The 26,353-nt window shown below is 42.3% G+C and overlaps 1 protein-coding gene and 4 pseudogenes across 6 annotated transcripts in view, besides 1 other annotated feature; 1 reads left to right on the top strand and 4 right to left on the bottom strand.

Annotated features, from left to right (window-relative positions):
• Nucleotides 1-26,353, top strand: part of SPTLC1 (serine palmitoyltransferase long chain base subunit 1) — an 84,267-nt gene that overhangs the window by 4,861 nt on the left and 53,053 nt on the right. For 5 of the 6 annotated variants that reach the window (NM_001281303.2, NM_006415.4, NM_001368272.1 and 2 more), the window contains one exon: nucleotides 1,719-1,813. In NM_001281303.2, the coding sequence (NP_001268232.1) occupies nucleotides 1,719-1,813 (95 nt within the window). Of the gene's footprint in view, nucleotides 1-1,718; nucleotides 1,814-6,527; nucleotides 6,555-7,613; nucleotides 7,749-26,353 lie in introns of those variants that run through there. The other variant, XM_047422638.1, reaches the window with a different exon arrangement.
• Nucleotides 39-385, bottom strand: MTND3P23 (MT-ND3 pseudogene 23; annotated as a pseudogene).
• Nucleotides 458-1,540, bottom strand: MTCO3P29 (MT-CO3 pseudogene 29; annotated as a pseudogene).
• On the bottom strand, nucleotides 1,564-1,695 carry MTATP6P29 (MT-ATP6 pseudogene 29; annotated as a pseudogene).
• Nucleotides 4,902-6,428, bottom strand: LOC100420896 (putative UPF0607 protein FLJ37424 pseudogene; annotated as a pseudogene).
• Nucleotides 6,789-7,289: an enhancer, noted in NCBI's record as "H3K4me1 hESC enhancer chr9:94865546-94866046 (GRCh37/hg19 assembly coordinates)". NCBI's record gives its function as "activates a minimal SCP1, AML or CMV promoter by ChIP-STARR-seq in naive H9 embryonic stem cells {active_cell/tissue: H9 hESC(naive)}" and the evidence as "EXISTENCE:reporter gene assay evidence [ECO:0000049][PMID:30033119]".

Here is a 26,353-nt window from a genome sequence, read left to right as displayed (position 1 = left end):
ATCTAATGAGTCGAAATCATTTAATTTAAACTATTTACCAGTTCAACTCAATCTAATCCTTTTTGGGTTCATTCATAAATTAGGCCTAGGATTAGAATGGTAATTAGTAGAAGGGTTGTACTGATTATTAGTATAAGGTTATTTGTTTGAAGGGCTCATGGCAGGGGTAGGAATAGGACGATTTCTAATCGAATAGGAGAAATGTGATGGCTACTAGAAAGAATTTTATGGAGAAGAGGAGGTGGGTAGAGGTTAATGGATCAAATCTACATTCATAAAGGCTGGATTTTTCTATGTAAGTATTAAGTTATGCAAGTCAAAATGTAATTACTACTAATAATAGAGTTAATAAAGTGTCAGTTATTAGGGCTAGTGCTAGGTTAATTACTCTTTTTCAGACTTTGTCGAAACTAGTTGATTGGAAGTCAGTGGTACTGCTTATACTAAAAGAGTAGTAGGACCCTCACCAGTAGATAGAGACACATGGGAATAGTCATACGACATCTACAAAGTGTCAATATCAAGTGGCGTCTTTAAAGCCAAAATGGTGGTTGGATGTAAAATGAATTTTTTTTTTTTGAGACAGAGTTTCGCTCTTGTTGCCCAGGCTGGAGTGCAATGGCGCAATCTTGCCTCACCGCAGCCTCCGCCTCCCAGGTTCAAGCGATTCTCCTGCCTCAGCCTTCCCGAGTAGCTGGGATTATAGGCATGTGCCACCACGCCCAGCAAATTTTGTATTTGTATTAGAGACGGGGTTTCTCCATGTTGGTCAGGCTGGTCTCGAACTCCCGACCTCAGGTGATGTGCCCACCTCGGCCTCCCAAAGTGCTGGGATTACAGGGATGAGCCACCATGCCCGGCCTAAAATGAAATTTTAATTGGCAGAGAAGGCAGATGGTGAGAATTGTTGATCCAATAGTAACATGAAGTCCATGAAAGCCTGTGACTATAAAGAATGTTGAGCTGTAGATTCCATCAGAGATAATAAAGGGGGCCTCGAAATATTCTGAGATTTGTGGAAGGGTGAAATAGACTCCTAAGAGGATTGTGGTAAGTAGTGCTTGAATTGTTTGTTTTTGGTTACCTTCTGTTAGGCTGTGATGGGCTCAAGTCACTGAAACTCCTGATGCAAGTAATATAGACGTATTTAGGAGAGGTGCTTCTGAAGGGTTCAGGGGAAGAATAGCTGTTGGGGGTCAATGTCCTCCTAATTCTGGGGTTGGTGCTAAACTGGAGTGATAGCATGCCCAGAAAAAACCGGCGAAGAAGGATACTTCTGAGATAATAGGAGCATCCTGTATCGGAGGCCTTTTTGGACAATTGCTGTGTGGTGGCCTTGGAATGTACTTTCTCGGACAATATCACGTCATCATTGATATATAGTCAGTGTGTTGGTTAGTAGGCCTAAAGTTAAAAGAGTGGTAGAATTAAAGTGAAATCCTATGGTTAGGCCAGATGTTATTAGGAGAGCCGAGAGAGCTCCTGTTAGTGGTCAAGGGCTAGGTACAACTCTATGGTAGGCATGTGTCTGGTGGGTCATTATGTATTATGCGAACAAAGACGTACTAATAGTGTGAAGACATAAGCTTGAATAAGAGTGACAGCGAACTTGAGAATAGTTAGTAGAATTAGAATAATAAGAAATACTGAAGTTGCAGAGACACTAATAATTGATAATATTAGCACTGCACTGTATTTTAATTCTTTTTCTCCTGTAGGAAAAAGAAGAACTGATTGAAGAGTGGCAACCAGAACCTCTTGTTCCTCCTGTCCCAAAAGACCATCCTGCTCTCAACTACAACATCGTTTCAGGGTAAATTGATTTTGCTACCTGAAGTACTTGTATTTGGCTTCTTGTAGTAACCTGCAGTCTATAGTGCTTTATATGTAGTAGTCCTTTTTTTATCTGAAACAAAACATTTTGAAGTTCCCAGGAGTAACAGCTTTAGCTCCTGATTTTAAAAAATTTATTCTAGGGATGATACAGGCATTTTTTAAAATCTCCAATTTAAGCATTAATGTTTGCCCTTTTTTCCAAGAATGCACACATGTTAATATTTCCAATGGTCGAACACTTAAAATGAAAAGCAACAGACTTCTGCTTTTTACCCATCTGGTTATTTTCTGATTTTAAATTTGTCGCACGTTACCCTCATAATTCTAGATACTGTATAGTATGCTTAACTACCATTTGTTGATTCATCAACTACAGACAACACCTGTTGATCCCCACAATATGAATTATGGAGCTTCCGCTCACTTATGCCTCTTTCCTCCTTGCTTCCAGTGTCTCATCTATTTTTTACTTTTCATTCTCTTGGCTATCTTTGCTATATTGTATGTATTTTCATTAATTAAGAAATACAGTAAGAATATAGAAAGTTATCAGATATAGATATAGATATCAGACACCTATATACCTACCACCCAGAATTAATTGGTGTTAACATTTTGCTATTTTTAATTCAAACTTACTTTTACAGGTAAATACAATATTACAAATGCATCTTAAGAAATTCCTTCACATCCATCACTTACTCTTGCCTCTCATACGGATAACTACTGTCTTGAAGTTGGTGATTGTGTTTTCTTTGCCTATATTTATAATTTTACCATATATGCCTGTTGCCATAAAAATACTTGGTTTATTTTAAAATGTGATACAAGATATTTTCCTGAGTAGTATTGTTCTGATTCTGATCTGATCAAACAGGAGCTTCTATTCTTTACTTCTGTAGATCTCTTCAGTCTTATAAAACTTTTATATATTCTGAAATCAAACCTACCAATCTTTTTTTTTTGAGACAGAGTCTCGCTCTGTCGCCCAGTCTGGAGTGTAGTGGCGCAATCTCGGCTCACTGCAAGCTTCGCCTCCCGGGTTCACGCCATTATCCTGCCTCAGCCTCCCGAGGAGCTGGGACTACAGGCGCATGCTGCCATGCCCGGCTAATTTTTTGTATTTTTAGTAGAGATGGAGTTTCACTGTGTTAGCCAGGATGGTCTCGATTTCCTGACTTTGTGATCCGCCGGCCTCGGCCTCCCAAAGTGCTGGGATTACAGGCGTGAGCCGCCGCACCTGGCCCAAATTTACCAATCTTTTATAGTTTGGTCTTTTGAAGTCTTAGGGAATCGTTTCCTACCCTAAAGATCTAATTTGATTGTTTTCCATATGATGGTCAGTTGTCTCAGCATTATTAGTTGAATAATCCAGTATTTACCTACTGCTTGGAAATTTCCCTTCTTTGGTAAGCCAGATTCCCTTCTAAAGGGTCTATTTCTGGCTTTTATTTTTATTCATTGGATATATTCGTATCTCCTTATACCAGAGACTCATTCATGTATACCACAGCTTTATAATAAACGTTGATTAGAATGTTTTTCTATCTCCGTGTTCTTCAAAATTGTCTAGACTATTCTTGACCCTTCTTCACTGTGAGTTTAGGTTTAGGTGATCATATTTAACCAAAAAAATGCATTTGGGTTTTTTATTAGAAGTGTGTTGAATTTATGGATTAATTTAGGAGGCTTGGTATCTTGCTGATACTTAATCTCACTACCCATTTACATGGTATATATTGCTTGCATACTTGGGTCTTTTGTTTTCTATAGTAAAGTTGCTGGAAGAGGAGGAGGGGAGGAAAGAGGAGGAGAGGAATGCACACATATGGGTGTAGGAGGCTCCCTTCTGAAGGGAGGCTGGAAGGAGAAAGATGTGGGGCTAGGATGTGTGGGGCATGGGTCAGAGGTCAGAGGCACTGAAACTGCAGCTGAATGAGAGCAGCCTCCTTTCTCATTAGGTGGAACCCCCAAAATGGGGGCAAGGTCAGTGGGAAGAGCCAGGGAAGAGTTAGGAATTATGGATATCAAATTTTACTCAATTCTTGGTGTGAGAGAAGGTGGAGGGACAGGCAAAATGAGGGGCCCAACAGCACGTGGGCCGAGTCAGAGTAAGACGAGGAGCTGGGATCCGTGAAGTGTAGGTGGCCAGGGGCAGGGAGTCTCAGCAGGTGTGGAGACAGCAGGGGCAGGCTGGGTGCCACTGCAGTTTGCCATGTCTTACTTTTTTTTTTTTTTTTTTTTGAGACGGAGTCTTGCTTTGTCACCAGGCTGGAGTGCAGTGGTGCGATCTCGGCTCACTGCAACCTCCACTTCCTGGGTTCAAGCCATTCTCCTGCCTCAGCCTCTCGAGTAGCTGAGACTACAGGCACAAGCCACCATGCCTGCCTAATTTTTGTATTTTCAGTAGAGACGGAGTTTCACCATGTTGGCCAGAATGATCTCAATCTCCTTTTTTTTAATTAAAAAGTAAACTTTAATGTCGAAAATGCAGACTTGGGGAGGGCAGAAAGATCACACACAAGGCTGTCACTTCACACTTGGAAGGTTGCACAGCAGCGGGCAGAGACGCTCCTCACTTCCCAGATGGTGAGGGGGCCGGGCAGAGGCGCTCCTCACTTCCCAGACGGTGCAGGGGCTGGGCAGAGGCGCTCCTCCCTTACAAACGGTGAGGGGGCCGGGCAGAGGTGCTCCTCACTTGCCAGACAGGGTGGCGGCTGGGCAGAAGTGCTCCTCACTTCCCAGATGGGACGGCGGCCAGGCAGAGGTGCTTCTCATTTCCCAGATGGTGAGGAGGCCGGGCAGAGGCACTCCTCACTTCGCAGACAGGACGGCGGCAAGGCAGAGGCGCTCCTCATTTCCCAGACGGTGAGGAGGCCGGGCAGAGGCACTCCTCACTTCGCAGACAGGACGGCGGCAAGGCAGAGGCGCTCCTTACTTCCCAGACAGGGCGGCGGCTGGGCAGAGGCACTCCTCACTTCCCGGGCTGTGAGGCGGCCAGGCAGAGGCACTCGTCACTTCCCAGAGAGGGTGGGGGCCTGGCAGAGGCGCTCCTCACTGCCCAGACGGTGCGGTGGCCAGGCAGAGGCGCTCCTCACTTCCCAGATGGTGGGGCGGCTGGGCAGAGGCGCTCCTCACTTCCCAGATGGTGGAGCAGCCGGGCAGAGGCGCTCCTCACTTCCCAGATGGTACAGGCAGAGATGCTCCTCAGGTCTCAATCTCTTGACCTCCTGATCCACCCGCCTGGGCCTCCCAAAGTGCTGGATTACAGGCGTGGGCCACCACGCCTGCCCTGCTGTCTCTTCTTTCTCCTCCTAAGCAGCTCTCTTAGTCTCCTGAATTTTGATGTTCTACTTAACAACCTCATGTTCTTACGCATGTTGCCCTGCTGGAGGCGTCCTTCTCTTTGGGAAGCCTGACCCACCAACAGTGCCTCAGGAGATAGACATGGAAGCTTAGCCGGTGGGGGCCCCTCATCTCTCTCCCACCTCAGTTGCAGGGGAGGGGTCGGTTGCAGCTGCAGCGGTGGCCCCGACAGTTTTCTTTTGCGGGACCTGTGGCCGGCAGCTCTGGGTGGAGAAGACCTACTTGATCCAAGAGCTGCAGGATCCTTGGGCTGCATGTCCTCCCCCACCATCAGCAAGCCTGGAGAGCTGGGCAGGTGGTCTTTACCCAGCACCTTCAAGGCCGCCTTCTCTGGCCACAGGGAGCAGCCCGGAACTGGGGCAGGGAGCACTGTTGGAAGTGGGTCAGGCTTCCCAAAGGGAAGGATGCCTCCAACAGGGCTGTGTGAACTGGCGACTCCATGGCCCTTGGAGTAGAAACTCACTGCATGCACCTGGGCCTTGTCAGTCTGGTTGTTTTCTGTCAAGCTCTTGAGGTGGACATTTCCCTCCAAGGGCCTGGGATTGTACCAGGAGGAAGTGAGGTTTCCCTGAGTCTCCAGGGGCCTAGAGGTGGAAGCTGCTTCCCCATTGCTACAGGGGCCCCTTTTATTGTCCTCCTGCCCCTGGGTCTCTACCTGGTCTTTCACCTCCGTTGCTTCTTTGGGCTCTTCTGCCCTCACCTCCATCTTCGGGAGCCTGGCTGGGATCACCTGCTCATCTAATGAAGGAAGTTGAAGGTTAAACTTGCCTCTGAGACAAGAGATCCTCACGGGGCTGAGGTGTCCAAACATCCTGGAGTTGCGAGCAGACAGCACGGGTTTCTTCCTTGAGGGGGGGGCTCCAGACCACAGGAGGCAGGACCCTCTGTGGGGTGCCCGTGTTCCGAGGGATAAGACACAGCCTCACAGGGGCGCCATCCCACCTGACTGGAAAAGAAGGCCCAAGATGTCGCTGACGGTTGAAGAGGAGTGGGAAACGGCCCCAGATTCCCGGGGCAGGCACAGGTGCAGGAGCCGCGGGGTGAGCCCGGCCAGCTGGGAAGGCCTCACGGACAAGACGAGCAGGTTGCCGGTGGCGTGGCCAGGACCTGCGGTGGAACCAGGAACAAAATATGCTTAGTGAGTTGCCCATTTTGAGCGAGTTGTGCACAGACGAAACTAAGGGTCAGAAGCGGAGAGGATACTCCGAAGTCACCCACTTCTCTGTGGCCGGGTGCACACTGGGCATCTGGGAGTTTATGACATCACTATGGGGCTGGTGACAGAGCCAGGGTGTGAAGGAGTGCTTAGGAGCCCAGCGAGGGTGCCTACAAGAGGAGTCAAAGGGCAAAGGGTGAGACCCTTCCACCAGTCCCCCTGGACTCTAGCCTCAGGGACGTCCTGCTCCTGGGGGCAGGTGTGTGGCCCTGGATGGGCCCCCCTGTGGGGCTGTTGGGGGTGCGGGGCTGATCCGCCAGAGCCATGGCGCCTGGCCCAGGTGCTGGCTGGCACCCAGTGGCCCTGTCTTGGACGGCCCTGTCCCCCGGGTTACAGGGCCAGAACCTGGAAGCAGAGCACAGGACCAGCCAGATCCTGCCAGGCTCCCCCGGGGCCTTTCCAGTGCCTCTGTGCCGCCTGGAGCAAGGCCCGCCTTCTCCATGGCTGCCGTGGCCTCAAGGGCCACCAGCCTTGCTTCGCAGGTTTCCAAAGAGAGGACGCGGTGCCCTGACCTGACTGGATGCGCCTCTTACCACATGCCTCCCTGGCAGGCAGGGTCTCCGCTTTTTACAAATTTGCCTGAGACCATTCCTCAGGTCATTCAGGTGGTCATGGCCCAGCCAGGCTTTGAACCTGGGCTGTGCGATTCCACAGCTGGCGTTCTGGCCTGTGTGCCTCATGATCATGGATACAGCATCTATTCTTATTTTTTCCTGTAGTTCTGGGGTACTTAGCACCGTGGCATATCTGTAATAAGCACGTGCACACCTCGAAGGAGGTCTTCACTTCAGCATAGAAGTTGACCATGGCATGCTCTGGGCTCCAGTCTTCTACAAAGATGTAGGGCAGGAACTACCAGTTGTCAGCACAGCACCATCCCACATTGCTCTTCTAATGGAGCCTTTCACCCCAGATGTTCTTTCTCGTCTGATGGGAAGGATCCACGTATGTAAAGATTATGTTCTAGATCAGCTTTGGTCTGTCCTAAAAGAAATTTGCCAGTGGATTATTCCATATGGATAAAAGTCAGTTTCTCTGGTCTTCCTGGAATGTGTCTAGAAAGCAAATACATTATTTACGAGTTCATAGTAGATCAATATATTGGATTAAAATATGACAAACATAATTTGGTCATTGTGAGCATGCCAGCTCGGTCAACTATTCACCACACATGATGCCCTAAATATAACTCTAGGTTTTCTTATGCCCAAGAGAGGGACATACTCTTGGGTGTCTGGACTAGGGAAACATGTATGAAAAACCATTTGGCCACTCTACATCTTGTTATTGGAGAATCAAAACTATCTATATTCAAAGATATTATTAAAAGGTAAGAAGTTAACTTCTGTCATTTTGTTAATTGTTTTCTGGTTGTTTTGTAGATCTTTTGTTTCTTTTTTTATTGTTTGCTTTATGGTTTGGTGAGTTTCTGTACTGATAAGCTTTGATTCCTTTATTTCATTGACATATCTGGTGTAATTTTTTTCTCTGGTTACTCTGGAGCTTACATTTAAAAATGTATAGTTATGATAGACTATTTAAAGCTGATAAAAATTTTGATCACACACGAACCTGCTATACTACCCCCACATCCCTTGTCAGTGCACAAAATTTGTACTTTTTTGCCTTAATTTATATTGTTCTGTATTGGGTGTTTATTAATAACTCATTGTAGATATAAATATTTTTGACTATTTTGATGTTCAGCTTTCTCAAGGGTGATTTGAAAGATTCTAAAGCATTAATTTCAGTAATGTAGAATTCTCAGTTTGAATATGAATTTACTTTTAACAGTTAGGTGGATAGTGTCCTGTTTTTGCATTAGTATTCTTTCACTTGCGATTGAAGCACTTGTTAAGCATTTCTTGTCAGGCTGGTCTTATGGTGATGAATTCCATAAGCATTTGCTTGTCTGGGAAAGACTTTATTTCTTTAATTTCTGATGGGTAGCTGTGCTCAGTACAGTACTCTTTGCTGACTGATTTCTCATTAGCACTTTGAATATATCATCCTCATCTTTCCTAGCCTTCAAGGTTTCTGCTGTGAAAACTGATAGTCTAATGGAGACTTGCTTATTTGTGATCTGATGCTTCTTTCTTGCTAATTTTAGAAGTTTTTCTTTGTGTTTGACTTTTGACAAATTGATTATAATGTGCCTTAGAAAAGGCCTTTTTGGGTTGAATATGTCCCTTTAAGCTTCACGGAACTGGATGTCCGTATCTCTCCCAAGAATTGGGAGATTTTCAGCTATTGTTTTGTTAAATAAGTTTTCTGTGTCTTTGTCTCTTTTCTCTGTTTCTCTTCTATATTTTCAAAATCTGTTATCTTAGTATCATGGCACAAGTCTCATAGACTTTCTTTGATTCTTTTTACTCTTTTTTTCTCCTTTTTTCCCTCAGTCTGGGTTATTTCAGAAGTCCTGTCTGCAAGTTCAGAAATTCTTTTGTTTGATCTAGTGTGCCATTGAAGCTGTCAGTGGTACTTTTTAATTTAATTCATTCAATTCTTCATTCCTAAGGTTTCTGTTGGTTTGTTTTCTTTTTTCTTTTCTCTTTTTTTTTTTTTTTTTTTTTGAGACGGAGTCTTGCTCTGTCGCCCAGGCTGGAGTGCAGTGGCACGATCTCGGCTCACTGCAAGCTCCGCCTCCCAGGTTCACGCCATTCTCCTGCCTCAGCCTCCGGAGTAGCTGGGACTACAGGCACCCGCCACCACGCCCGGCTAATTGTTTGTATTTTTAGTAGAGACAGGGTTTCATCCTGTTAGCCAGGATGGTCTAGATCTCCTGACCTCGTGATCCGCCCACCTCGGCCTTCCAAAGTGCTGGGATTACAGGTGTGAGCCACCACGCCTGGCCTGTTTGTTTTCTTTAATGGTATCTATGTCTTTGTTGAATTTCTCATTCAGGCTATGGCTTGTTTTTTTTTATTATTCGATTAAGTTTTCTCTCTGTATTCTTTTGTATCTCATTGAATTTTCTTAAGATCAATATTTCAAATTCCTTTTAAGGCAATTTGAAAATTTCCATTTATTTAGGGTAACTTTGTGAAGAATTATTGTGCAACTTTGGTGGTGTCAAGTTTCATTGCATTTTCATGCTTTTTATCTCCTATGTTTATATTTATGAGACTGTTGACACGGTCACCTGTTCTAATTGTATAGAGTGGCTTATGTAGAGAAAGATTTTCACCTGGAGATGTGTCTTAGGGTGTCAGTTGGATGGGCTGCATCTGCTTTAGTTCTAGGAGGACACAGTAGTGTAATATCTGTGCTTTTCTCTTGCCTGTTTTTTTTTTTTTTCTTTTGCTAGTATCCATTTTGGTGATACCTGTGAGTGTCTTGGTGACCTAGGCTGTAGGAGCATGTGCAGTTTGTTTTTCTGCTCAGGACTGGGGGCTGGGGGAGAAGGCGGCGGTGTCAGGAAGCTGCATGCCTATCTAGTGACTGTGTTACTGAGTCACAGGGGTTGGTACACCAGTTTGAGATGGGACTCCCCTGGAAACACTCGCCTAGCTGTGGATTACTGGGGCTGGTCTGCAGGTTTGAGATGGGGATCACCTAGAAACACCAGGGCCAGTTGGTGAGCGCACTGATGGCACAATAAATCAGTAATCGGTCCACAGTTAGAGTGTTGCAGTCACTAGGATGTGGAAGGCAAACCTCTTTGAGAGTTTGTTTCTAGGATATAGACAGCAGTAGCTGCTTTCCTGGAGAAGGCTGTTGTAATGACAGGGTAGCCCCTGGGATGGAAGGAGGCAGTGACCACTAGTTCATGGAACAGAATATACTCAGCTATGGCTTGGCTTTCTAGATGGTGCTATATGTGGGCTCCTTCTCTGGGGCAGTATAGCCCTGTGGGCATCAAGCAGCTTCCTAAACTAGGCTGCTAGAGATGGGGTTTCACCATGTTGGTCAGGCTGGTCTCAAACTCCTGACCTCTGGTGATCTGCCCGCCTCGGCCTCCCAAAGTGCTGGGATCACAGGCGTGAGCCCCCATACCTGACCTACCTTTTTTTTTTTTTTGTTAAGAAACTTGCTTATGTTGTTCTTTATTTTCTTCTTGACTTTTTTTTCCCCAGGTTTCCTTACAGTCATGCGTCACTTAATGACGTAGATACGTTCTGAGAAATGTGTTAGGCAATTCCATTGTCATGCAAACATCATAGAGTGGACTTACACAGACCTAGATGTGTAGTGTGTACCTATAACCTGGTACGCACCTAGACTATATGGTATAGCCTATTGCTCCTAGGTCACAAACTATACAGCATGTTACTCTACTGAATACTCTAGGCAGTTGTAGTAAAATGGTATTTGTGTATCTAAATATATTTAAGTATAGAGAAGGTACAATAGGGCCAGGCATGATGGCTCATGCCTGCAATCTCAGCACTTTGGGAGGCTGAGGTGGGCAGGTCACTTGAGCCCAGGAATTTGAGACCAGCCTGGGCAACATGACAAAACCCCTTCTCTACCAAAGAATCCAAAAAATTAGGTGGGTGTGGTAATATAGGCCTATAGTCCCAGCTACTTGGGAGGATGAGGTGGGAAGATGGCTTGAGCCTGGGAGGTGGAGGTTGCAGTGAAACAAGATTGTGCCACTGTGCTCCATCCTGGGCAACAGAGCCAGACCCTGTCTTAAAAAAAAAAAAAAAAAGTACAGTAAAAATACAGTATTTTACTCTTATAGGACCACTGTTGTATATGTGGTCCATTTTGTCAATTGAGATGTTAAATGGCACGCGACTGTATATCCATTAATTGTAGGCGATTTGAGACTGGCTCTCTGAAAACACATCTACACTCACTGTGCCCAGGCCTGGAATAGCTCCTGTCATGCCTTTGTGTGGATTAGGGGAAGGTACTCTTCCTCCAGCAAGTGCAGCAGCCTGGTGCAGACCTTGGGCTGTGGTGCCGATCCCTGGGTGCCCCTAACAGGACCCCAGCTCATGCAGCAACCTTGCTCTGCCCTTTCTTCTGGCAGAGTTCAGATATAGGATAATGTGTCCTTAGATAATTTAGTGGTTATATTTTTATGACTTCATTAGTATTATTCATTAGTTGGGCCAATGTTATGAGGCTATATTTTCTTTATTGGATACTTTTGTTTTCCCCAGAGTTAATCATTTTTGTTTGGTTACTTGATTGGTTCTACAGTGGTCTTTATGTTGTTTGCCTCTAGGAGCATAAAACTCCATTCAGAATGTTCACACGTTAGTTATCTATTAGATTCACTTTCTTTGTTCTTTCTCCTGCTCCACTCCTGACTGGTTGTTATATGCAGCTGCTACACAGGGTGGCCCTGGAGTGTCCCATCACCATTAGCTTGAGAATTTCCTTTCTCTGTTCTGCATTGGCTATTTCCTGTCTCTTGGTTTACAGTAGATTATAGATAGATTTCAGAGAAGGGTCATGGAAGGTGAATTTTTTTTTTTGAAACCTACACATCTTAAAATTTTTTATTTTTACCCTTTTGCACTGTACTGATTGTTTTATCAGTTTTATTGATCTGTTAGACACTTCCTCAATATCTGGTGATTGTTAACATCCCTTCTTTTTTTTCAATATGCACAATATTTTTATTGTCATCAAGAACATTATGTAAATTGTTTGCAGAAACTACAAGAAAATTGAAGGTTGTTTTGTTGATAGTGAAAGGCAATGGAAGGGCACTGTGGATCAATAAGGCTGAGGGGCGAGACAAAGAGGGCAAAAATCTTTACTGAGCTCTCGGGCGAGGTTCACTGGTCCGCAGGGGGAGGGCCAGGGAAGTCGCGCTGTGCCAAAGGTGCAGAGCGCTTTTATGGATGCTGGGTGAGGAGTGGGCGGGGTAGGGGCGGGATAGGTTGAGTTTCGTGCTTCTGAGTGTGACACGCCCTAGTGGGCATGCGCGTTGGTCCGGGTGGCGGGAACAGGAAAGGTGAACCCGGAAATGCTGAGTCAGGGTACCCGATGTGGCTGTCAGGATGGCGGGAATAAGCGAAAATGCCAAGTCAGGGTAGCCAAGATGGCTGCCGAGATGGCGGGAACCGGTGAATCCGGGAATGCTGAGTCAGGGTAGCCAAGATGGTTACCGATCGCCATCTTGGAGTCTTCACCGGAGTCCAATCAGATTACATTCAGTGTTACTTTTCTTCAATTTATGCAATACCTATTTACATTCAATACTGAGTTGACACAAGAGTAAGCGAATTAACTTAGATTTTTTTCCTTTAGACAGAAGCCTTATTGATATATAATCTATTTACCATAAAATTTACCATTTTGAAGTGTAAGGTTTTTTTCCTTTAAACAGCAGCTGTATTGATACGTAATCTATATACCATAAAATCTGTCATTTTGAAGTGTATAATTAAGTGGTTTTTAGCATATTCCCAGAGTTATACAACTATCACCACCATCTAATTCCAAAATATTTTTATCACCCCAAAAGAAATCCCAAAGCCATTAGCAGTTACTTCCCACTCCTTCCTCTGCCCAGGCCTTAGCAACCATTTATCTACTTTATGGACTTGCCTATTCTGGACATTTCACATTAAAAGGAATAAACAATACTTAGCCTTTGTTTCTGGGTTCTTTCACTTAACATAATGTTTTCAGGACTCATCCACATTGTAGCATGTATCCGTACTTCATTTTATCACCAAATAATATTTCAGTGTATGGATACACACATTTTGTTTATACATTAATCAGTTGATGCACAATTGGGTTTTTTCCCTCGTAAGAGTATATGAAAAAATAAAAAATAATAAAACTGCTATGAAATAATGTGTACACATTTTTGCATGGGCATAATGTTTTAATTTTTCTTGGATATATACCTAGGAGTAGGATTGCTGTGTCATGTGATAACTCTGTGTTTAACATTTTGAGGAACCCCCAAACTGTTTTCCAAAGTGGTTGCATCATTTTATATTCCCACTAGCTACATATGAGGTTTACAATTTCTTCACATCCTTAGCAATGCTTATTATTTTCTATTTTATTGTAGCCATCCTAGTAGGTGGGAAGTGGGATCTTATGGTTTTAATTTGCATTTCCCAGATAACTAATGATGTTGAGCACCTTTTCATCGGCTTATTGGCCATTTGTATATTTTCTTTGGAGAAATGTCTACTTTAATCACTTAGCTGTTTTCAATTGGGGGTTCTTTCTATCATTAAAACTGTAAAAGTTCTTTATATATTTTGAATCCTAGTCCCTTGTCAGATATATGATTTGCAGATTTTTTTTTTCATTCTGTGGGATTTTATTTTACTTCTTTGATAGTGATCTTTGAAATTCAAAAGTTTATTTTAATGATGTCTGACTTCCCTGTTTTTCCTTTTGTTGCTTGTACTTTTTTGTCATCTGTAAAAACTTTGGCTTAATCTAAGGTTATGAAGATTTACTCTTTCCTGTCTTCTAACAGTTTATAGTTTTTGCCCTTACATTTAGTGTGTAATTCAAGTTAATTTTTGTATATGGTGTGAGGTAGAGGCCTATCTTTATCTTTTTCCAGGTGGATGTCAAGTTGTCCTAGCACCGTTTGTTGAAAAGACTATTTCCCTTCTGAGTTGTCTTGTTGAAAATCAGTTGACCATAAATGTAAGGATGGTCTATTTTCAAGAATGACACATGAAAATGGTCATTGAGAGCCCTGTTAAAATGGGCTTGGCTTTTTCTTCAGTTTTACTGAGGTATAATTGCTAAATAAAAATTGTATATATTCAAGATGTATAATAAGATGATTTTATATTTATATATATATACACACACACACATTGTGAAATAATGACCACAATCAAATTAACATATCCATCACCACATTTAGTTACCATTTGTGTTTTAGAGGGGTGAGGATGGGGTGGGCTTTTTGACTGAGGGGCTTGCACTAGGATAATCAGACAGGGACCTGTTCGTTTATTTGAGGGGACCCCCAAACTTAGTATTTATAGTTTTTATTCTCTTGGCTTTGTGTTTCCCAGGAGAGGAGTCCTCTAGTCTATTACTTTGCAGGTAAAAAGCTGCTTTCCACCATTTGGGAGCTGAGTTGAAGGCAAGAGGCCCAGGGTCTTACCATTCATTATGTAACTCACACCTAATTTTTGTCTTCAGAACGGCACCCCTGCCTTCACTCATTCTTAGGACTTCCAGTTTATACACAGCCTCTCCAGAGAGCACTTCTTCAGGGTGGAGGAGGGGAGTGACTGCCTGTTGTCTAGGCACCCAGCCAGTCCTCCTGTTGTCGGCCTTTCCCGTTTTCCAGTGTTTAATGGAAGCTGGTGCCCCAGTTTGGGAGCATGTTTCAGGCGTTGCTGCTTGGCTTTTCACTGCTGGCCTAGGCTTGCCTTTCTCTTTGATCTCTTTGACTTATCAAATACAACTTATCCATTTGCTTTCCAGTTTCCCACATTTTGTCACCTTTCTCCTTGTTCTGGTCTGGGTGGGTTTAGACCTTTAAACTTTGTAGGCATTTTGCATTTGCTTTCTGAGTGTGCTTTCAGAAGAGATCAAGGGTTGAGGTGTTTTTTAATGTTAGCTGATATTAAGTGGTATGAAGAAATATCAAAGCAGGGTCAGTAAAGAGAGGTAGAGTTGCTGCATATATTTCTTGTTCATTTCTTTTGACTGCTACATATTCTTCTGTGTATACAGCCACCAAATTTTACTTCTCCATTTTCCTCATGATAGACACCTAAACCGCCCCCATTTCCCACTGCTGCAAAGAATCCTCTGATTAATATTCCCTCATGAACCTAATATTCCCTTGAATTTCTCTGGGGGTATAGAACCAGGAATAGGATACTGATATATGCCTGCCTAATTTTCCTGTAGGACTTTTCTGTGTCATCTATGGTCCCCTGAGATAGTATATAGGAATTCAAGTTTTCCCTACATCTCTGTTTAGCAATACTGTTTGCTTTGGATTTCTCTTAATGTTTGAGCCTTTGAGCATCACTTCATCTACTTTTTAGCTACTGGAGTCTTCTGCTTCTTTGAATGCCTCTTCATATCTTTTACCTGTTTTTTTACTGGATTCCCAGTCTTTCTTTTGATTAGCGAAGGTTCTGTATACCTTGTAGATTTTAATCCTTAGTCAATTTTTGAGTTAGTACTCTGTTACATTGATTCTAAGACACATACTGTTTTTCCCTAGTTTAAAATCTTTGAAGTGGGGATGAATCTTAAAGCTGCTGAGAGTCACTGATGAGTCATTGTCAGCCAGGAAGGTAGTTTGTGACATGGTTGTCATTGCTTATGTACCAGTGAACTTCGTGGTGGCGGGCTTACTGTCAGCACTCCAGTTGAAGTGTATGCCCTGCTGGTCAATGAGGCAACTGATAGCCGGAGAAATGGCCAGACCTGCAGAGCAGAGGCAGAGGATGACAAAAGGCTTTGAAGATCTCTTTGTCAGACTTCCTGTTGCCTTTGGGTAGTATCAGCTTACTTTCTAGAAACATGTGATTTAATTGGAAGGACGATAAAACTATGAGGTTAGTTCAATAGGAAAGTTGCAGCATCAGAACTTGAGAATGGGTGACAGTTAACATGTCAGATAATCTCAGAAATCATAGTGGAGCATGCTGGTAAGAAATGCCAAGACACTGCCAAGAGCAAGGAGAACATGGTATGAAAACTTGTGGTATCAGTGACTTAGAGGAGAGGGACAGAACTCAGTTAAAGAGGTTTTAGGAATGTCTTGACTTACATTTTCCTTTTCATAAGTACAAATGTAGTGTAACAAAAATCTGGGTCTAAGAATGTATAATAGACCTTTGCATTAAGCATAAACTAAAAAGCTGCACATGACAAGAAAACATCATTGTATTTTAATTGACACTGTTTCTCTTCCTTAGTGATGGATAAAATACAATTGATGACATCTTAGATTCAGTGAAATACAATAAACCTCTTCTCTATCACCCGTCTGTTAACTTTGTCTTTGGTATCTTTCGTTGAACCAAATTTCTTAATTTTGACTTGGTCAGATGCATCCATCTTGGCCTTACGGTTTGTATTCTTAAAGACTTGGTTAAGAAATCATTTCCTACCCTGAGGTCCCAAAGACATTCTTCCACATTTTGTTATCTTTTCTAAAATACCTTTTAGATTTTTAATATGGCTGGAATTCACTTTATACCTGGCTGTTCAACTTTATCCGTAGAGAAAAATTTGTGTGAAACCTAGTGGTTTGTGGGGTAACTGCTGTCATTTTCCAGGTATTTGTATGTACACAGTTCTCATGAATTCTAGATTCTTTCATTGGTCTCTGCCTACCTGCAAATATTACAGTATTTGCTTCCTTCTGGTAAAGCACCTCCCGGTTTCTAAATTCAGTTAGCCATTCCTGAACTTGTATCCTTCTGTGTAATTATTGAAGTTTATAGAGCTCCATTAGAAATCCTGGTGGAATTTTAGTTGTGATTGCATTGAGTTTGTAGTTTATCTTGGCAAAATGTAATATCTTTAAAATGTTGAGCCATCCCTTCAGCTGACCATCGTATATCTTATCATTTATTACTGTCTTTATATTTTTCTTGATACTGTAAATACTTTGTATTTTGTTACCTTTATTTACTATTAATTCCAATGGTTTGTTGATTTCGTTGAGTTTTTTATGTAAGGTGATCATATCACCTGCTGATAACAGTGTGACTCTTCTCAGACGTGTGTGTGTGTGTGCACACTTGTTTATTCACATTTTTGGACTTACAGTTTTACTGGTATGGCCTTTAGTAATATGCTGAATAGTAAAAAGATACCAAGCATCCTTGTTTTGTTCATATTCATAAAAGTAATGGCTCTCTTGTTTCCCAGTTAATATCTGTAGGTTTTAGGTATTATAGTCTTATCAATTCGAGACCATTTCCTCCGATCTAGTTTTCTAAGAGTTTTATAAATAGATGTTGAACTTCATCAAATGTTATTTCTGCATCTAAGATCATTGCATGACTTTTCTTTATTATGTTGTATTTTCTGAAATTTTTACTTCTTATTTAACTTCTATTAATATATCTCTTAGGTGTACTCTGTTCTTTTTCTAACTTAGTTGAACACTTAATTTACATTTTTAATCTTTTCTAGTATTGATTGACATTCTCTTTACAAAACACCCTGAGTGTAATTCAGGATTCAGGCTTAAAAAAAGGTTTTGAAAGATAATAAAGTACGTATTCCTTATTACAGAACCACTCTCATGCAGTCTAGGGCAGCATCCCCAGAATAGTTTCATTCCATTGAGTAAATAAAAGCAGTAAAGAGTTTCATATATGTTTAGGACAGGTTTTGCTACTGAATGAACTTGCTGCAAACTTTCAAAATTGAGTGTGAGGCATAATGAACTTTTCTGTGTTTAAGCCTATAAATTCCCTTCTAAGTACTATTCCAGCTGTAGGCTATACTTTTTTTGGGGGGAGGGAGGATGGAGTCTTGCCCTGTTGTCAGGCTGGAGTGCAGTGGCGCAATCTCGGCTCACTGCAACCTTTGCCTCCCAGGTTCAAGCCATTCTCCTGCCTCAGCCTCCCCAGTAGCTGGAACTACAGGTGTGTGCCACCACGCCCAGCTAATTTATTATTATTATTTTTTAATAGAGACAGGGTTTCACCATGTTGGCCAGGATGGTCTCAATCTCTTGACCTCGGGTGATCCACCCGCCTTAACCTCCCAAAGTGCTGGTATTACAGGCATGAGTCACTGCACCCGGCCTGTAGGCTATACTTCTAATGTGTGTTATTCAGACCTAAATATTTTTTAATTTTCTTTTTTTTCTTTGACTAAAGCATAATGTTTTCCTTGAGTTTTTGTCTTCTCAGTAATTTATAATTTATTGCTATGTGATTAAAAAACATGTTCTGGATGATAGCTTTTCTGAATGATTTGGCTGCTCTTGTTGACACTTGCTTTATGTCTTACTTTATTGTAAATTTTGCAAATGTTCCACGGCTTTATCACAAAAATTTATATTATATATTCCTTTTATTCAAGGTGTCTTGTGTCCATTACATCAAGCACTTTAATTATTATTCAAATAGTTGACAGTCTTAGCCGTTTTCTGTCTGGTATGTAAATGAATGAGAAAGAAAGAGACAGTATAAAGATCAGTATTACCCACCGTATGGATTCATTCTCTGTCTCTGTTTCGTTTTTAAATTGTTTAGTTTGAAGGTGTGAAATGTATGTGGGCTCAGCATTTTTACATCGTTTTGAATGTCCCTTATCTCTAACAAAAATTATGTTTTACCTTAAAGTCCATTTGTCTGATAGCAGTGTAGCTACACCAGCTATCATTTAGTTATTCTGTGATTAATAGGACTCTGTTTTCAATTTTACTGTATCATTGTGTGTAGTTCTTTTGTACATAATTGGATTTTAATCCTAGTATCATTTTTTAACTGAGGAGTTTAATCTGTTTACATTTATTTTGATTACTAACTTATTTGTATAGTAAACACTAATATCTGCTGAAATATGAGGTGATTCACAATTTTCCCAGTAGCATTTAAAAGAGTTTCTTGGCCAATTTGATATGTAAATTTAAAGGGATGTATAAGAAATGGCCAAAAATAATGTTATTTGATTTATTAATGTAATTGCACATATATATTTAAAATGTCATTGTGCAAATAATATATTCAAAAATACTGCTCTTTCCTTTACCCCATGCAGCAGTTTTATTCTAATTCTTCCTAGGCATCTTGGATACCATATTCATCATTAGAAGCATTGAAAAATTTATGTTTAAAGTCTGTCATTTTCACGTCTGTCTGAATACTTGGATGCATAACTTTTTGAATCTGTGTATGTTGCTATCCCTCAAAATTTTACCCAAGTCTCATTCAGTATTTGTGGTTCTACACTTGACCCCTTACAGGGTTGCTTTTTGTTGTGGTCTTTAAAAGGTTTGCTTACTTGGTTGTATACTGTTTCATTGTGAAGTCCCGCTCCCAGGAATATGTATTATGTGTGGGAAATAAGTACAATATCTGTGTCAAATTATTTTACCTCCCTTTATAAAAAACAAACTGATTTCTTCAAAACACCTAAAGGTAGCATTGTTAGAGATCATTCTGGTTGAAGTTGTAACTAATTAGTAGTGGGTACAGCTGCATATAATAGGAAACCCAAACTTAGATGGCTTAGGGAAAGTAGAAGTTTATTTGCCCTCACAAGTGGGGAGCAAGGTAGCTAGCGCCACAGATGATTAGGGACCCAGGTTACCATCCTGTGTTCTGTCCTTGAGGTGTGTGACTTCCATTCATAAGTCACCTTAAGGGAGGATGTCAGGCAGATGGGCAGAAAAGAGTCTCCTTCTGGGCCTGTCAGCTTGGTTACGGCAATGCTGGCCACACCTAGTTGCAGGAGCAGCTGACAGAAGTGGTCTTTTGTTCCAGGGCAGTGGCCTTAATTTTTTCATTTCTTTTTTTTTTCCCTTGCCTTTAGTCTGCTTGATCAGGTTTTCTTGATTAGACTTCCCTTATTCTTTTCTTCTCCTCATGCTTAACATAAGTAATTCCTGTCCAATTTTTTTTTGTTTGTTTTTTGAGACAGGGTCTCACTCTGTTGCCCAGGCTGGAATGCAGTGGCACCGTCTCAGCTCACTGCAGTGTCTCTCTCCCAGGTGCAAGGGATTCTCCTGCCTCCGCCTCTGGAGTAGCTGGGATTACAGGCATGCACCACCACACCCGGCTAATATTTTTTGTATTTTTAGTAGAGACAGGGTTTCACCATGTTGGCCAGGCTGGTCTCGGACTCCTGACCTCAAGTGATCCCCCTGCTTTGGTGTCCCAAAGTGCTGGGATTGCGGGCATGAGCCACCTTGCCCCAAATGTTAATTAATCTTCCTCTCTTCCTTACTGAGCAGTACAGGGACTTACTAGACTCCTACTTCAGTTGTTCCCCATCCCCACTCCCCCTTTCTTGATGTCTGATATTTGACCTCCACTTATTTTGTATCCTCCAGGATTATTATATTTGAGAATCACCTTCTTTACCTATTTACCACTTTCTTATTGCCAGTCTTTAGGTATTTCTTTCTTTATCCGTGCAGCTTCTTTGCGCTTAAAATTTCTTTTTCTAAAATATATTCTCTATTAGATTGTTATGTAGAGATTCAGAGAAGGTAATCTGTATCTCTTAATGAGAAATGTTTTTATTTTACCTCCTTGGATGACAGTTAGTGGGTAACAGGTTCTAAGTGGATCATTATTTGCCCTGCAGCCTTGGAGAATTTCTTCATCATGGCCTGGCCTGTGTTATGGGGAGACTGTGTCAGTCTAATTATTGTTCATCTTCTGTTTTTTCTAGTGGCTTTCACAATTATTTTTCTCTAAAATTCTACAGTTTCACTGTCATGTGTCTTCTTGTAATTTATTCATATTTATCCTACTTGGGATTCATTTTTGTACTTCAGTCTGTGGATTTCTGTCTCCCATGAATTCTGGGAATTTTTTAGCTTTTATCTGTTCAAACATTGTCTCTCACTTTTTTCCTCCAGTTTTTCCCTGTAGAGCTAATGTTTAGTGTACTTTTAACCTTCATATCCTCTACGTTCAGTATGTACTCTTTCATATTTTTGCATCTCTTGGTAATCTCAGCTCTGTCTTTCATTTTTCTGCAGTGTCTGATGGGGTATTTAATCTATCTTTTAGATTTCTAATTTTATTGGCTCTTAGATTTTATTTCTGGAAGTTATATTTGACTATTTAGCAAGTTAGCCTGTCCTTTTTTGTTTTTGTTTTTGAGATAGAATTTTGTTCTTCCTGAGCAGGCTGGAGTGCAGTGGCACAATCTCGACTCACTGCAACCTCTGCCTCCTGGGTTCAAGCGATTCTCCTGCTTTAGCCTCCCCAGTAGCTGGTATTATAGGCATGCGCCACCATGCCTAGCTTATTTTTTTGTATTATTACTAGAGATGGGGTCTCACCATGTTGGTCAGGCTGGTCTTGAACTCCTGACCTCAGGTAATCTGCTCGCCTCGGCCTCCCAAAGTGCTGGGATTACAGGTGTGAGCCACCACGCCCAGCCCAGCCTGTCCTTTTCTTAGTAACTTTTTAACCTTTCCTTATGTTTATGCTCTTGGGAGCACTTTCTAGTGTCCAGCGTCTCGCGTTCTTGGGCAGTGGCCCTTCTGCATGTCTTGTATCCTGACTCTCACTCATGGTGGGGTTGTGGTTTTTGATTGGGAAAGTTGTTTTCTCTCTTTTGAGTCCTCTCAGGTCTCGATTGTGGAGATGTCTTTCTGGTTGGTTTTACTTGCTTCTGCAGCATACCCTATAAGATTTTAGGTTCCAGGATTCCTGTATCAAGTGCCCATTATGACCTATTCCTGCTAGCCTGCATGGGGCACAGGTCTGAGACTTCCATTTCTCACCGGAAACTTTGTTCCTTCGCTACTCCAAGTGCTGGACAGAAATAGTATCCCTACATCACATCATGCTGCCTTCTGATAGCTTTTGAGCTGTGGTTAAGTGTTTTGGATATACTTGTTCTTAATCATTTGTTTTCTGTGTATTACAGTTTTTATAGAATGGTCTCAACGTTTATGGCACCTTTGGTACATGGGTGGTCTATCTCGGTATTTGTTTGTTGTTTGTTTTTTGTTTTTAATCTTTTTGTGACTGCCAATACCTGACTATGAAATCAGGGAGGACTTAGGAAACTTAAGGAAACCTTGAGAAGTAAGAACCTGAATAACATGATAAAATCAGAATCACAGTTGAGGAGGTGAGTGGCACTGGATTTGAAAGAGAAGCCCGGAGGGCAGCCAAGATAGCCGAATAGGAACAGCTCCGGTCTACAGCTCCCAGCGTGAGCGACGCAGAAGACGGGTGATTTCTGCATTTCCATCTGAGGTACTGGGTTCATCTCACTAGGGAGTGCCAGACAGTGGGCGCAGGACAGTGGGTGCAGCGCACCATGTGCGAGCTGAAGCAGGGTGAGGCATTGCCTTACTTGGGAAGCGCAAGGGGTCAGGGAGTTCCCTTTCCTAGTCAAAGAAAGGGGTGACAGACGGCACCTGAAAAATTGGGTCACTCCCACCCTAATACTGCGCTTTTCCGACACGCTTAAAAAACGGCCCACCAGGAGATTATATCCCTCACCTGGCTCGGAGGGTCCTACGCCCACACAGTCTCGCTGATTGCTAGCACAGCAATCTGAGATCAAACTGCAAGGCGGCAGCGAGGCCGGGAGAGGGGCGCCCGCCATTGCCCAGGCTTGCTTAGGTAAACAAAGCAGCCGGGAAGCTCGAACTGGGTGGAGCCCACCACAGCTCAAGGAGGTCTGCCTGCCTCTGTAGGCTCCACCTCTGGGGGCAGGGCACAGACAAACAAAAAGACAGCAGTAACCTCTGCAGACTTAAATGTCCCTGTCTAACAGCTTTGAAGAGAGCAGTGGTTCTCCCAGCACGCAGCTGGAGATCTGAGAACGGGCAGACTGCCTCCTCAAGTGGGTCCCTGACCCCTGACCCCTGAGCAGCCTAACTGGGAGGCACCCCCCAGTAGGGGCAGACTGACACCTCACACGGCTGGGTACTCCTCTGAGACAAAACTTCCAGAGGAACGATCAGACAGCAGCATTCCCGGTTCACGAAAATCCGCTGTTCTGCAGCCACTGCTGCTGATAGCCAGGCAAATAGGGTCTGGAGTGGACCTCTAGCAAACTCCAACAGACCTGCAGCTGAGGGTCCTGTCTGTTAGAAGGAAAACTAACAAACAGAAAGGACATGCACACCAAAAACCCATCTGTACATCACCATCATCAAAGACCAAAAGTAGATAAAACCACAAAGATGGGGAAAAAACAGAGCAGAAAAACTGGAAACTCTAAAAAGCAGAGAGCCTCTCCTCCTCCAAAGGAACGCAGTTCCTCACAAGCAATGGAACAAAGCTGGATGGAGAATGACTTTGACGAGTTGAGAGAAGAAGGCTTCAGACGATCAAACTACTCTGAGCTACAGGAGGAAATTCAAACCAAAGGCAAAGAAGTTAAAAACTTTGAAAAAAATTTAGACGAATGTATAACTAGAATAACCAATACAGAGAAGTGCTTAAAGGAGCTGATGGAGCTGAAAGCCAAGGCTCGAGAACTATGTGAAGAATGCAGAAGCCTCAGGAGCTGATGCGATCAACTGGAAGAAAGGGTATCAGCGATGGAAGATGAAATGAATGAAATGAAGTGAGAAGGGAAGTTTAGAGAAAAAAGAATAAAAAGAAACAAACAAAGCCTCCAAGAAATATGGGACTATGTGAAAAGACCAAATCTACGTCTGATTGGTGCACCTGAAAGTGACGGGGAGAATGGAACCAAGTTGGAAAACACTCTGCAGGATATTATCCAGGAGAACTTCCCCAATCTAGCAAGGCAGGCCAACATTCAGATTCAGGAAATACAGAGAACACCACAAAGATACTCCTTGAGAAGAGCAACTCCAAGACACATAATTGTCAGATTCACCAAAGTTGAAATGAAGGAAAAAATGTTAAGGGCAGCCAGAGAGAAAGGTTGGGTTACCCACAAAGGGAAGCCCATCAGACTAACAGCTGATCTCTCAGCAGAAACTCTACAAGCCAGAAGAGAGTGGGGACCAATATTCAACATTCTTAAAGAAAAGAATTTTCAACCCAGAATTTCATATCCAGCCAAACTAAGCTTCGTAAGTGAAGGAGAAATAAAATACTTTACAGACAAGCAAATGCTGAGAGATTTTGTCACCACCAGGCCTGCCCTAAAAGAGCTCCTGAAGGAAGCATTAAACATGGAAAGGAACAACCGGTACCAGTCACTGCAAAATCATGCCAAAATGTAAAGACCATCCAGACTAGGAAGAAACTGCATCAACTAACGAGCAAAATAACCAGCTAACATCATAATGACAGGATCAAATTCACACATAACAATATTAACTTTAAATGTAAATGGACTAAATGCTCCAATTAAAAGACACAGACTGGCAAATTGGATAAAGAGTCAAGACCCATCAGTGTGCTGCATTCAGGAAACCCATCTCACGTGCAGAGACACACATAGGCTCAAAATAAAAGGATGGAGGAAGATCTACCAAGCAAATGGAAAACAAAAAAAGGCAGGGGTTGCAATCCTAGTCTCTGATAAAACAGACTTTAAACCAACAAAGACCAAAAGAGACAAAGAAGGCCATTACATAATGGTAAAGGGATCAATTCAACAAGAAGAGCTAACTATCCTAAATATATATGCACCCAATACAGGAGCACCCAGAATCATAAAGCAAGTCCTGAGTGACCTACAAAGAGACTTAGACTCCCACACATTAATAATGGGAGACTTTAACACCCCACTGTCAACATTAGACAGATCAACGAGACAGAAAGTCAACAAGGATACCCAGGAATTGAACTGAGCTCTGCACCAAGGGGACCTAACAGACATCTACAGAACTCTCCACCCCAAATCAACAGAATATACATTTTTTTCAGCACCACACCACACCTATTCCAAAATTGACCACATAGTTGGAAGTAAAGCTCTCCTCAGCAAATGTAAAAGAACAGAAATTATAACAAACTGTCTCTCAGACCACAGTGCAATCAAACTAGAACTCAGGATTAAGAAACTCACTCAAAACCGCTCAACTACATGGAAACTGAACAACCTGCTCCTGAATGACTACTGGGTACATAACGAAATGAAGGCAGAAATAAAGATGTTCTTTGAAACCAACGAGAACAAAGACACTACATACCAGGATCTCTGGGACACATTCAAAGCAGTGTGTAGAGGGAAATTTATAGCACTAAATGCCCACAAGAGAAAGCAGGAAAGATCCAAAATTGACACCCTAACATCACAATTAAAAGAACTAGAAAAGCAAGAGCAAACACATTCAAAAGCTAGCAGAAGGCAAGAAATAACTAAGATCAGAGCAGAACTGAAGGAAATAGAGACACAAAAAACCCTTCAAAAAATTAATGAATCCAGGAGCTGGTTTTTTGAAAGGATCAACAAAATTGATAGACCGCTAGCAAGACTAATAAAGAAAAAAAGAGAGAAGAATCAAATAGATGCAATAAAAAATGATAAAGGGGATATCACCACTGATCCCACAGAAATACAAACTACCATCAGAGAATACTACAAACACCTCTACGCAAATAAACTAGAAAATCTAGAAGAAATGGATAAATTCCTCGACACATACACCCTTCCAAGACTAAACCAGGAAGAAGTTGAATCTCTGAATAGACCAATAACAAGCTCTGAAATTGTGGCAATAATCAATAGCTTACCAACCAAAAAGAGTCCAGGACCAGATGGATTCACAGCCGAATTCTACCAGAGGTACAAGGAAGAACTGGTACCATTCCTTCTGAAACTATTCCAATCAATAGAAAAAGAGAGAATCCTCCCTAACTCATTTTATGAGGCCAGCATCATCCTGATACCAAAGCTGGGCAGAGACACAACCAAAAAAGAGAATTTTAGACCAATATCCTTGATGAACATTGATGCAAAAATCCTCAATAAAATACTGGCAAACCGAATCCAGCAGCACATCAAAAAGCTTGTCCACCATGATCAAGTGGGCTTCATCCCTGGGATGCAAGGCTGGTTCAATATATGCAAATCAATAAATGTAATCCAGCATATAAACAGAACCAAAGACAAAAACTACATGATTATCTCAATAGATGCAGAAAAGGCCTTTGACAAAATTCAACAACCTTCATGCTGAAAACTCTCAATAAATTAGGTATTGATGGGACGTATCTCAAAATAATAAGAGCTATCTATGACAGACCCACAGCCAATATCATGCTGAATGGGCAAAAACTGGAAGCATTCCCTTTGAAAACTGGCACAAGACAGGGATGCCCTCTCTCACCACTCCTATTCAACATAGTGTTGGAAGTTCTGGCCAGGGCAATTAGGCAGGAGAAGGAAATAAAGGGTATTCAATTAGGAAAAGAGGAAGTC

This window comes from Homo sapiens, chromosome 9, assembly GCF_000001405.40.
Source record: "Homo sapiens chromosome 9, GRCh38.p14 Primary Assembly".
NCBI lineage: Eukaryota > Metazoa > Chordata > Mammalia > Primates > Hominidae > Homo > Homo sapiens.
This window is presented reverse-complemented; position numbering and strand designations above follow the sequence as displayed.